The sequence below is a fragment of the Homo sapiens genome, chromosome 11 (genome assembly GCF_000001405.40).
Source record: "Homo sapiens chromosome 11, GRCh38.p14 Primary Assembly".
Taxonomy (NCBI): domain Eukaryota; kingdom Metazoa; phylum Chordata; class Mammalia; order Primates; family Hominidae; genus Homo; species Homo sapiens.
In genome coordinates this window covers 126,417,525-126,429,690 of record NC_000011.10, presented here as the reverse complement: position 1 = coordinate 126,429,690, position 12,166 = coordinate 126,417,525, and the positions used below count along the sequence as shown (strand labels likewise).

Below are 12,166 nucleotides of genomic sequence, written 5' to 3'. Positions count from 1 at the left end.
ACTGAGATTTATGGTTCTATGAATGGAGGGATTGGAGCCCGCCTGGTAGAGCAGGTCAGAGAAGACTTCTAGAAGGAAGTGAGAATTCAGTAGGATGAAAAGGACCTAGCTCAGTAAGGCGGACAAGTGGCTGAAGACGATCTTTCAAGCCAAGGGTGCATGGCTGAGGGGCATGTGACAGGAGGCAGGCCGGCCATGGGGTCAGCCTCCTCTGAGGCCCAAACACCCACAGCATCTCCATATGGAGGTTCTATTGGTGGGGGGCTGGTGAAGCTGCTGAGTTCAGGGGCTGGAGGGGAAATGCAGAGGGTGGCAGGGCAGGGGCAGGGGACTGCAAGGGAGCTTGACATCTCAAAGGTAAGAACTAAATCTATCATCTACACTTTACTATTTTATCTCCAGATCTCAAAGGTGTTGTGTCAGCCAAAAATGATATCCGAGTGGAAATTGTCCACAAGGAACCAGCCTCTGGTCGGGAGGGTGAGGAGCACTCCACCATCAAGCAGCTGATGGTAAGAATGCAATTACGCCCCATCCCATCCCGTGACTCCATTCCCAGAAGGTCCTGGGACTAGAGGCTTCTCAATGAACTAGATGCTTCCAAAAAGCAGAGCAGCGTTCAAGATGCCCCCTGCCCACCCCACAATAGGTGAGGCACACACTCTCAGCCAACAAATGTGAGTGTGTGCCTGCTGTACTGTGCTTGTGTTCTGGCAGACTCAAAGACATCTAAGATGCAGTCCAGGCCAGGTGCAGTGGCTCACGCTTGCAATCCCAACACTTTGGGAGACCGAGTTGGGCGGATCACTTGAGATTAGGAGTTCGAGACCAGCCTGGCCAACATGGTGAAACTACATCTCTACTAAAAATACAAAAATTAGCTGGGCGTGGTGGCGGGCGCCTGTAATCCCAGCTACTTGGGAAGCTGAGGCAGGAGAATTGCTTGAACCCAGGAGGTGGAGGTTGCAGTGAGCTGAGATCAGGCCACTGCACCCCAGCCTGGGTGAGAGCGAGACTCCATCTCAAAACAACAACAACAACAAAAATGCAGTCTACCCTTCAGAGAGCCTGGCTCTTCAGTAAGGAGAAAAGACATATGCATAAATTGCCACAATATGTTGTTATATAACATATAATCCCCTCCCCTCCCCCGCACACACACACATAGCTATTATAGATATTCAATACATGTCCCTCTCCCTCATCCCCCGCACCCCACCAAAACAGTCTGCAAGAAACACAGGTTCCTCCTTGGGGACTGGATTGCCAGTCAACTCATCACTTCTCCAGGCACATCAAGCCTGCTCCTCCTCTTCCGAATCCCCATTTATGGGCCATCATCTACCTAGTTGTCCAAGCAGAAACCTGGACAACCATGCTAGAAGTTTCTGGTTGCCTCGGTCGTAACATGTTGGAGTGGAGGCAGCAGAGCAAGGAATATAGTAGATGGGCTTTCTGGTGCCTCCATGTCCTCATCCATGAGATGGGTCTGAAAGCCACAGTATACAGGGCTGTGGTGAGGGTGAAGTGGACAAAACTCAGAAGGGCTTGAAGCCCATGGAACACAATAAGTGCTCAAGAAATATTAGCGGTTTATGTTGCTAGAGGGTGAGCAGCTGCTGCTGTGTTCATCCCGGGGTCTTCGGAGCCTTACACAGGCCCTGGTAGAGGCTCACAGACGTTTACTGAATCAAACTGACTTTTCCCTCGGCTACGCTTTCTCTCTCCAATTGATTTTCAGGTCCTGTCAATTCCACTTCAAAAAGTGTCTCAAATGTGTGCCCCACCTGTCCTCCACCATCACTTCTTTACTTCAGGCCTCATCATTGCTCCCCTGGATGATTACAGCAGCCTCCCAGTTGGTCTCAGCCTTGTAGTCTTTTGTCTCTTTTCTCAATCCACCCTCGAGAGCCTTGAGAAAGCAGCCTTTCTAAAATGCAAATCTGGTCCTGTTACTTGCCCACTTAAAATCCCTCGGTGGCTCCCCACATCTGCTGGACAAAGCCCAACTTCCTGGTGTGCCATCAGGGCTCCTCAGTGCCAGGCAACCACCAACCTCTCCAGCTCCATTTTCCGGCCAAGTACATCTGGCCTTCCAGACATGCCAAAGAGCTTGATTCCTGGCCTTCGAATCTTTTGGACTTCAAAGGCCTGTGCACCGGCTGTTCTCTCTGCCTGCTAATTTTGTCTGTTGAATCTCACATTCTCCCATAACAATCAACTCCAAGATGTTCCGGGCTTGTCCTCCCCACCCCTGGCGGAGCTGTGCACCTTCTGCTCTCCCAAAACACTTTGTATGTGCCTCCTTTATAGTGCATTCCCCCAATTCCATGTCAGCTTCCCCAGTTATCCCAGAGCTCCTCAAGGGCAAAGGTCATGTTTCTGAGTCTACGCTCATCTATTTCCCCTGGGGCCTAACACAGGGCCTGACACTGTTAAAATTAACACAGTGGAGTGTTTAGTTTTACGAGGGAGGAAACCACAGCCTAGATGTGAGAAGGGATGACGTCTCTATACTTAAGCTTAATCATGTGTGTCCTTCATCCCAAACGGGACCTTGAATTCTCTCCCATCGGCAAACATTCTGTTTGCCTCAGACTGTCTCCACATCCCTTAGTCCAAATCCACAGGCAAGAGTGGGGGCAGCTCAGTGTCAGGTGGGAGCAGAAGGGACTTGCTGAGGGCTCTGGGCTAAGCCACCCCTTGAGGATATCGTCATTCTCGCATTCCCTTCACCTCCTGGCCCCAAGACAGCCCCATCTGCAAGAAGGGGCAGACTTAGAAGTTGAATCTGATGGGAAAGAAGGTCTCCAGTCCAGACAGTGCCAGAGCATTTACTGGAAAAATGAACCGCATGGTCTCCTTAGTGAGGAGGCAGCCGGGTGGCCGCACTTTGGCTGATTCTACAGGGCTCCAAAAAGAAACGAGGAAAGCAGGTTGCAAGGGAGAAGAAACATCCCGGCCCAGAGAGTAGGAGGGAACCTACTACCTATACCGTGCAACTAGCAGAGACACATGGCAAGCCTCTCGTGTGTCACAGGTTAAGCATCACTGTGGTTATTCAGATTAATTCATATGCCCACTGTGTGTGGAGTATGCTTTTTCATCTTATGTCTAATAATTTTGTTAATTTTCAGTAATTTAGAGCTAAGCCACTTTGCCTATTCATTCAACATATACATACCATTTGAAGCAGCTCTATTGTATATCAGGCACTGTGCTAGGCATTGGCAAATCAAATAATTAAGAGATTCCATCCCAAAAGCAGGCAAGGTCAGTGACCACAACATGCAAAGCACTGAACCAGGTGTGGGAGGACCCAGAGACAAGCAGGAAGTGATCCTTGCCCTCAGGCTGTTTGGCATCTCTAAGGAAGTTAACTTTTCATGAGAATAACAGGTGTGGCCCATGTCGCCAGCATCTCACAGATGGTTATTCCTTGTGACTCCCTAAGGCCTGCACTAGGCCTGCACGCTGGAAAAGAAACTGCCCTAAGGAGCCTTGCCATGCCCAGTGACTGACATTCTGAAATTATTTATCTACAAGTCCATCTCCCTGATGAGCAGAGCTGTATCTTAATGTACGTTAATCTGTGGATCTCTGGTCCTTAGCAGAGCAACTGGCCGGCATTTTACAATAAACGTTCAGTCAATGGAATTGAATCAGCCATGGGAGATCTCTGGTGATGCCCTCGCCCAAGCGAGGAAAGTATGGCCTCGGATACCTGCCCCTCGCCTCCCCTAACTGCCCCTCACCTCACCTACTCACCCACCCCCCTCAACTGCTTCCCTGTCTCCTAGGATGGGGCTCCAGGAACTCATCTTGACTCTTTCACATGGTCCAGGCAGTGAGGGGTGGTGGGGGTTATACAGGGCAATCTTTTGAGTTTCTGATCTCATCTTTTCCTTGGGGGAAGTGGAGGTTTAGCCACCTCCTATCTACTGAGCAGCCTTTTTTGGGTTGCAGATGGACCGGGGTGAATTCCAGCAAGACTCAGTCCTGAAACAGCTGGAGGTCCTCAAAGAAGAGGAGAAAGAGTTTCAGAACCTGAAGGTAAGAAGGGCCCCGGGTTATAAGACACAGCCATGGAATCTGGTCTTTAGCTCTGATGGCCCAAACCCCAAATCTATACAACAAATGACAGCAAGTCAGAGAAGAAAAGGTCAGAGGCCAGCTTGGTGGCAGGTGCCCGTCCCTGCCTAAGGCACCTCCTCTCCCTACCCCAACGCTGAGGAGGCTGAGAGAGCTAAGGCTGAGACTCCCCAGTTCTCTTCCACAGCCTCCTCACATGTAGATTCAAAATGAAGCATCCATGTTCTGGATAAAAACAATTAAAAAGCCTGACTTTCAAATGACCCTGCATTGCCCTGACATAAACCCAGTCAAGAGCCTCTGCTTCCCTCCTTCGGCCCTCAGCCCTCACCCTTGCCGTCCCTCCCCTCCTGGGGTCCGCAGTCCCCCTTCTGCCATCTCCTGTTCAGTGTCCTTCTTCCCCTGCACCTTCCCTGCAGCTGTTCACCCCTGAGTTTGCTCCCTACCAGGTTGCTCCCTTCCTCCTGTTTTCCCTCTTCCCTCCCCGCATAAGGGGACGGGCTCAGCCTGGAAACCCCAGCCACGCTCAGTGGAGACTCCACCAGGTGACGCTCCTCTTCCTCTCGCCCATCCAGGACCCCACCAATGGCTACTACAGCGTCAACACCTTCAAAGAGCACCACTCAACCCCGACCATCTCCCTCTCCAGCTGCCAGCCCGACCTGCGTCCTGCGGGCAAGCAGCGTGTGCCCACAGGCATGTCCTTCACCAACATCTACAGCACCCTGAGCGGCCAGGGCCGCCTCTACGACTACGGGCAGCGGTTTGTGCTGGGCATGGGCAGCTCGTCCATCGAGCTTTGTGAGCGGGAGTTCCAGAGAGGCTCCCTCAGCGACAGCAGCTCCTTCCTGGACACGCAGTGTGACAGCAGCGTCAGCAGCAGCGGCAAGCAGGATGGCTATGTGCAGTTCGACAAGGCCAGCAAGGCTTCTGCTTCCTCCTCCCACCACTCCCAGTCCTCGTCCCAGAACTCTGACCCCAGTCGACCCCTGCAGCGGCGGATGCAGACTCACGTCTAAGGATCACACACCGCGGGTGGGGACGGGCCAGGGAAGAGGTCAGGGCACGTTCTGGTTGTCCAGGGACGAGGGGTACTTTGCAGAGGACACCAGAATTGGCCACTTCCAGGACAGCCTCCCAGCGCCTCTGCCACTGCCTTCCTTCGAAGCTCTGATCAAGCACAAATCTGGGTCCCCAGGTGCTGTGTGCCAGAGGTGGGCGGGTGGGGAGACAGACAGAGGCTGCGGCTGAGTGCGCTGTGCTTAGTGCTGGACACCCGTGTCCCCGGCCCTTTCCTGGAGGCCCCTCTACCACCTGCTCTGCCCACAGGCACAAGTGGCAGCTATAACTCTGCTTTCATGAAACTGCGGTCCACTCTCTGGTCTCTCTGTGGGCTCTACCCCTCGCTGACCAGAAGCTCTACCTACCCCTGTGCCTGTGCTCCCATACAGCCCTGGGGAGAAGGGGATGACGTCTTCCCAGCACTGAGCTGCCCCAGAAACCCCGGCTCCCCACTGCTGCTCATAGCCCATACCCTGGAGGCTGACAAGCCAGAAATGGCCTTGGCTAAAGGAGCCTCTCTCTCACCAGGCTGGCCGGGAGCCCACCCCCAATTTGTTTGGTGTTTTGTGTCCATACTCTTGCAGTTCTGTCCTTGGACTTGATGCCGCTGAACTCTGCGGTGGGACCGGTCCGGTCAGAGCCTGGTGTACTGGGGGGAGGGAGGGAGGAGGGAGCCTGTGCTGACGGAGCACCTCGCCGGGTGTGCCCCTCCTGGGCTGTGTGACCCCAGCCTCCCCACCCACCTCCTGCTTTGTGTACTCCTCCCCTCCCCCTCAGCACAATCGGAGTTCATATAAGAAGTGCGGGAGCTTCTCTGGTCAGGGTTCTCTGAACACTTATGGAGAGAGTGCTTCCTGGGAAGTGTGGCGTTTGAAGGGGCTGGAGGGCAGGTCTTTAAGATGGCGAGACTGCCCTTCTCAGCTGATAAACACAAGAACGGCGATCCTGTCTTCAGTAAGGCTCCACGAGAAGAGAGGAAGTATATCTACACCTCAACCCTCCTAGTCACCACCTGAAATAAATGTTAGGGACACTACTCCAACATGTTTGTTCTGTTCTTTTGTTCCTACAAAGCCACAGGAAGAACCCAAGAGCTCATAGAATGCGTTGGGAACCCAAGGTTCTCTGCCCTCCTTTGATTCAATCTTCCTAGACAATAAAGGCAGTTGATAGCTCTGATTGTGGTGGCAATTAAACCTACAGGCTGACTCCTCTCCCCTGTGGGTGGATTCAATCCAGAGGACGTGTGGGACTCACCAGCCACCTGACTCAGCCAAATATAGCTCAGAGGCAGAGTGGTCACACTAGATACTGGCCAGGCCATTCTGGACCCTTCCTCTCAGCAATATTCTGAAGGCAAAGTTCCCTCCTCTAGAGGTTCAGAGAACAAGACCCGCTGGAAAGAGTCTAGACCACCAGGCACCCTAACATTTTAATATACAACTCAAATAGTGTTCTAAGAAGGGCCTCGCTTGTGGGTAAGTTTGATGTGGTCATGGCAGATGGGGTGGATAAACAGGGGCAAGTTAGAGTGCTCGTTGAGGGAGTGGGATTCAAATGGAACTTTAAAGAACCCAAATTGTCCCTAAGGTGGCTTGGAGGTTCCTTGTCAGTTTTAAACCTTTCTTCTCCAACCTTCCCTGGTAGTTCTTACCCATCATGGGAACCTTCATCACACCAGTTTGTGCTTCTTTCCAGACACTGATTCCTTGGATGGTCCCAATCCACAGATTCTATACACAGCCTACACAGCTCCTCCACTCAGAGGAATTTTCTGCTTCGATCATATTTCCAAGTGCTTCGAAATTTCCCAGAAACCTGGCTATCTTCCTTTGTAGCCCCTAAGCCTGAGGGAGTAAAAACTGATCAGAAATGTTAAGTGTATGTCCACAGCCCACATTCTGCTGCTGGTACCATGCTGGCCTAGCATAGACATCAGGATGCTGGCCCCTGCCCTCTCTAGGTTAATCTCAGCAAGCTTGCTTGCTTTCTTTCCATATATGTTTTCCATTGGCTAACAGAGAATAAGGATCCAAGACCATATGCACAATGCCTTGGTGTGCTGGAATAAGGAAAAGATGACTTTAGAGGATCTGTTCATTTACTTCTCTTATTTCTCTTGGTCTTCCCACCTTGGATATGCGTAGACCATTTACCTCCTAGTCCTCAGCACAGCTGACCCTGCCCCTTGCTCCTGCTACACACACACACACACACACACACACACACACACACACACAGAGTGTGCACTAATAGGGTGGAGGTGCCCATTCTTCCATTCTTTCCTGGAAACCAAAATTATAAACGAGAAGAATGGGGAAGAAATATGTTCTATAAAATAAGCCCTTTGTCCTGTCCCTCGGCACACCCAGGGTAAGAATATGGACTGAGCAGAGCGCACCGGGGCAGCTGCAAACACTAGGCTGCACGGTGCCCAACCCTCTTAGCACTGTCCAATGCCCAATGCAGCAAAGAATAGCCCAAGGGATAGGAGGTCACAAGGATGATCTTTGTGAGAGACAAGAGCATGGAGGGAAAAAATGAGGGGGATCTGGAGGACTCTGGGGCATTGAGAAGCCTGAACTGAGCTGAGTACATCCCTCAGCTGTCTCCAGCACTATCTATTTCTCACAAATGAGTGGGGGTGCAGAAAAGCTGGTGAAGGGAGGTGCTGAAAAACAAAGGCAGTGGGAAGCCCCGAATTCCCCCATAGGTGATTTCACATTAAATAAAATGAGTGCTCTACATTTGTAATCTTATTTAATGCTCACAATTCTACGAAGTATCACCATTTTACAGATGTGGGTTGAGGCTTAAAGAAGCCAGAAAACTTGCCCAGCGTCAAGCGCTAACGAGTGACAAACATGAGCTTTATACACACATTCATCCTAGAATGTCGCTGGAAGTGGCTGATGGTAAAGGCCATCTGCTAGCATGCGCTCTGGGGCAGGCCGGGCGAGGACAAGCACAGCTCCATTAGGAAGGCAAGACTGTGCTAGCATGCGCTCTGGGGCAGGCCGGGCGAGGACAAGCACAGCTCCATTAGGAAGGCAAGACTGGCGTCCTCCACCCTAAGTCCCCAAATGACCCGGAAAGACCACAAAGCCCTGGGAAACAAAGCTCTTCTGTGTATCAAATCACCCCCACCTCTACCAAGGACGGCAGCCAGTCTTCCGATAGCTTTAAACTTCATTACTGGCTCAGAGTCACTGGACGGAGGCCCAGTCTCTAATTCTCAGGTTCAAGATCAGTCGGCCAAGGCCAGGGTTATTTCCACCACCTCTTCCACTTTCAGGGAATAGGAAGTACTTTCACGTGAAGAGCAAAAATGTCACATCAAATCCATTTCTGACGAAGCCTTTTTGAACAAATTCTATAAAGCAAGAGGCCATGAAGCCGATTTTAAGTTTCCAGAATGGAAAGGAGCCAGGGAAATGAAAACAAACATGGTGCAGTCCTTGGGAGATTTCTTAGAACAAGAGAAAGGAGTCAACCAAAATTCCATTTCTCACTTCCTGGTTGGAGAGGAGTATGTGCTGCTTGGGTCATTTGCTATTATGGAATCAGAACCGAAGGCACAAGGTACATACACACACACACACACACACACACACACACACACGTTTGATTAGTTCTTCCCAGGTATTATGTGTGCGGTTTGTCCTGGCACCAGAAAAAAAAAAAAAAAAAGACAAAAGGGAGTCTTGAGATTAGTTTCTTCTCTGGGAGCTTTCTCTATAAAACACACTTTTTATTGAAATAAAAATATAAAAATGTAAATAAAGACTATCTTAATTTGCAAATAGATTTTTATTTTAAATGCTCCTTGGTGTGCACATCTAAAGAAACAAACACTTAGATGTAGACCAATGACAACTAAATCTTAAATTTCACTTCCCCTTTCAAAACGGCTTTTGAAAATCTCTTATCTAAGTTGTTCTTAGGAACTGTAACCACATACCAGCAATTTGCAGCTTTCAAATCAAAATTAGCAGCAGTCTCTGGGAGTCACTGATAAAGAGCTCATTCACTGATAGCCGCCTCTCATTTCCAGTGAGCCTCCAACCATCCTTTCCCCAACTCCTTATGTTTCAGTGTTCCTAACCAGGTCATAAACTGAGAAAAATTTTAAAAAATTTAAAAGCTCCTCTTCTTTCTAGAAATAAGGAATTGTTTTCCTGGCCAAGTCCATGTTTGCCGCAAAACCATTAATTCTTTCCCTCTCTAACCGCCATTCTTCCTTGGCCCTCCTCCCGTCCTCGCTAACAGCAAGTTCTTTGACATACACTGAAAGCTTTCATTACTACAAGCCCTATAAGTCTTCCTACTCCCACAGCCTCCATCTTTAAAAGGCCTTCTGTGAATATACACCATTCACAAGATACGTCATCAAATTGTCATCTACATCCCTGGTTATATTTATGCCTCTGCCAATATCTGCCTGCCACTCCATGTTCCCAGTGCTTTTCTCGGAAACAGTCCACTTAGCCCACCCACGGGGCTGAGACAGCCTCATCCCCTGAGTAGAGAGCTTCCTTGAGTTCCCTGATTGGAGAATACCAGACAAGAAATAGCATTTCTTTCCGCTGTTCCTTAACCTTACGGCCCTTGGCAATATCTTGGAATGCTGAAAACATTCAAAAAATGGTTCTTTGTAACTGTCTTCTTTATGGTGAATCTAAACTATTAATGCTCAAAAAGAAGGCTAGTGAGGTCTCAGGGAGTCCAGATGTTCCTGGAAATAACTGGAGTTTAACTAAATGGAGCTTATCTGAAATCTATACCCAGTTATGCAAGAGAAAAAGTACTATTCTGGATAGAAGCTGAATATAGGAAGGGATTCATCCCTCTGAAGATCACTTTCTTTTTTTTTTTTTTTTTTTTTTTTTTTGAGACAGACTCTCGCCCTATTGCCCAGGCTGGAGTGCAATGGCACGATCTCGTCTCACTGCAACCTCCACTTCCCGGGTTCAAACGATTCTCCTGCCTCAGCCTCCCGAGTAGCTGGGATTACAGGTGCCCACCACCATGGCCAGTTAATTTTTTTGTATTTTTAGTAGAGATGGGGGTTTCACCATGCTGGCCAGGCTGGTCTCGAACTCCTGACCTCAGGTGATCCACTCGCCTTGGCCTCCCAAAGTGCTGGGATTACAGGTGTGAGCCACTGGCCCCGGCCTGAAGATCACTTTCTATGAGACAAAGTCCAGGTGGACTAAGTTCAAGTTACCACTTTCACCTCCTTTGCAAGGAAAATAAAGGGCCAGGCTCTGCTGCCCAAGGACTAGGAAGTACATTTGTGACATTAATGGGCATTGCACTTCAGAGAAATACTAAAAGAAGAAGGCAAGTAGAGATAAAGTGATGCAGACAAGGATTTAAGCAGAATTTTCAGATAAGAGCTTCCTATTTGACTTTTAACAGAAATTAAAAGTTTATCTAGCTCTCCTGCCATGCAAGGGCTCCATCAGTGCAACATAAATTCACTGAGAAAAAGAGCACAGACCTGAAGGCTATCTCCAACCAGACTCCACCAGCTCCATGCTTAGTAAGAAGAGAAACGGGGAGACACTCCTTAAGTGTGAAAGTTGGTGATCTGTGTAAATAGTGTTTTGGGAAGACTCAGAATGATAGATGGCTCTGGACTAGCTCAGTTCAGCAATTCCAACTCCAATCCCCTAGGGTTGTTTCAACATCTGAGCCTGCTCTCATTCTCTCCACCCAACACCACTCTCCCAGCCTTCCAAGGCTCTTGAGAGGAAGCTATGTCTCTGTTCAGGTGGTGTGTGTTTAAATTGTTACCTTTCCCTGGGAACCCAAAATGGGGCAAAAAACAGCACCCGCCTCCCAAAGTTCATTTTTCCCTGAAAAATTCTTGCCAAGCCCTGTTGTAATAACCCTCTTAGCACTGGGGTCTCTCCCACCTGCTTCACACCATCTGCAGTCCCTTTAAGTGAAGAAGTGGAGCCTTCCCATACATTTGAGCTTCTCAAAAATCTGTCATCTAATGAGACTCAAGGTTCATCTCTTCTTATTTATTGGGCACAGGATCCCAAAAATCTCTAACAAGAGAGATAAACTCAATGAGATTGAACTGGACAGGAAAACCAGCTATAACTACAGACAGACACACACCCACACGCACACCACGCGCATACCCCTCCTTAAACTTTTAAGTCAGAAAGGTCTGATTTCTTGGAACCACATCTAGTACAGAATTATGGGAATGTTGGAAACTAACAGTTTTCCGAAGCTATAATGAAGACTTCAAAAAGGTTGGAGAGATTAGAATAGAGCTGACAAACTCAGGTTATACTTCTCAACCTTTGTTTAGGAATCTACTGTGGCATGCTAGGTACCATTGAAATGGATAATGTCTCCCAAGAAATCTCTTTCCCCAAGAATCCCTAAAGGTGTCCGACTTCAACTTGAAAACCGCTAATAGCCGAGCGCGGTGGCTCACGCCCGTAATCCCAACACTTTGGGAGGCCGAGGCAGGTGGATCACCTGAGGTCAGGAGTTTGAGACCAGCCTGGTCAACATGATGAAACCCCATCTCTACTAAAAATACAAAAATTAGCTGGGCGTGGTGGCAGGCGCCTGTAATCCCAGCTACTCGGGAGGCTGAGGCAGGAGAATCCATTGAACCCGGGGGTCGGAGGTTGCAGTGAACTGAGATCCTGCCATTGTACTCTTGCCTGGGTGACAAGAGTGAAACTCTGTCTCAAAAAAAAAAAAAAAAGAAAGAAAGAAAAAGAAAACCACCAATATAAAGCAGTTTAAACACTATTCATCGTTTGATTATGCAAAGCCTGTGTTGCAGTCATTTCACTGATGTCTTACCTTCCCCTACCTACCTTGTGGGTGATTTGAAGACAAAGACTTTTCTGTAACCAGCCATGTTACTCACTACCTGGCCAAGTATTTGGCCCTACAAATGTACCTAACCTGTTTCATACCCTCTGGCATTTTCCACGATGCAAGGCAGCTTTCCAATTAATATTGATATCATACT

General features: G+C 49.0%; 1 protein-coding gene across 15 annotated transcripts in view; it reads left to right on the top strand.

Moving 5' to 3' along the window:
• KIRREL3 (kirre like nephrin family adhesion molecule 3) overlaps positions 1-6,333 on the top strand; it is a 580,037-nt gene extending 573,704 nt beyond the window's left edge. For all 15 annotated transcript variants that reach the window (NM_001441257.1, NM_001441258.1, NM_001441262.1 and 12 more), the window contains 3 exons: positions 403-512; positions 3,967-4,053; positions 4,668-6,333. In NM_001441257.1, the coding sequence (NP_001428186.1) occupies positions 403-512; positions 3,967-4,053; positions 4,668-5,111 (641 nt within the window). In that variant the 3' untranslated portion in view covers positions 5,112-6,333. The remainder of the gene's footprint in view (positions 1-402; positions 513-3,966; positions 4,054-4,667) is intronic.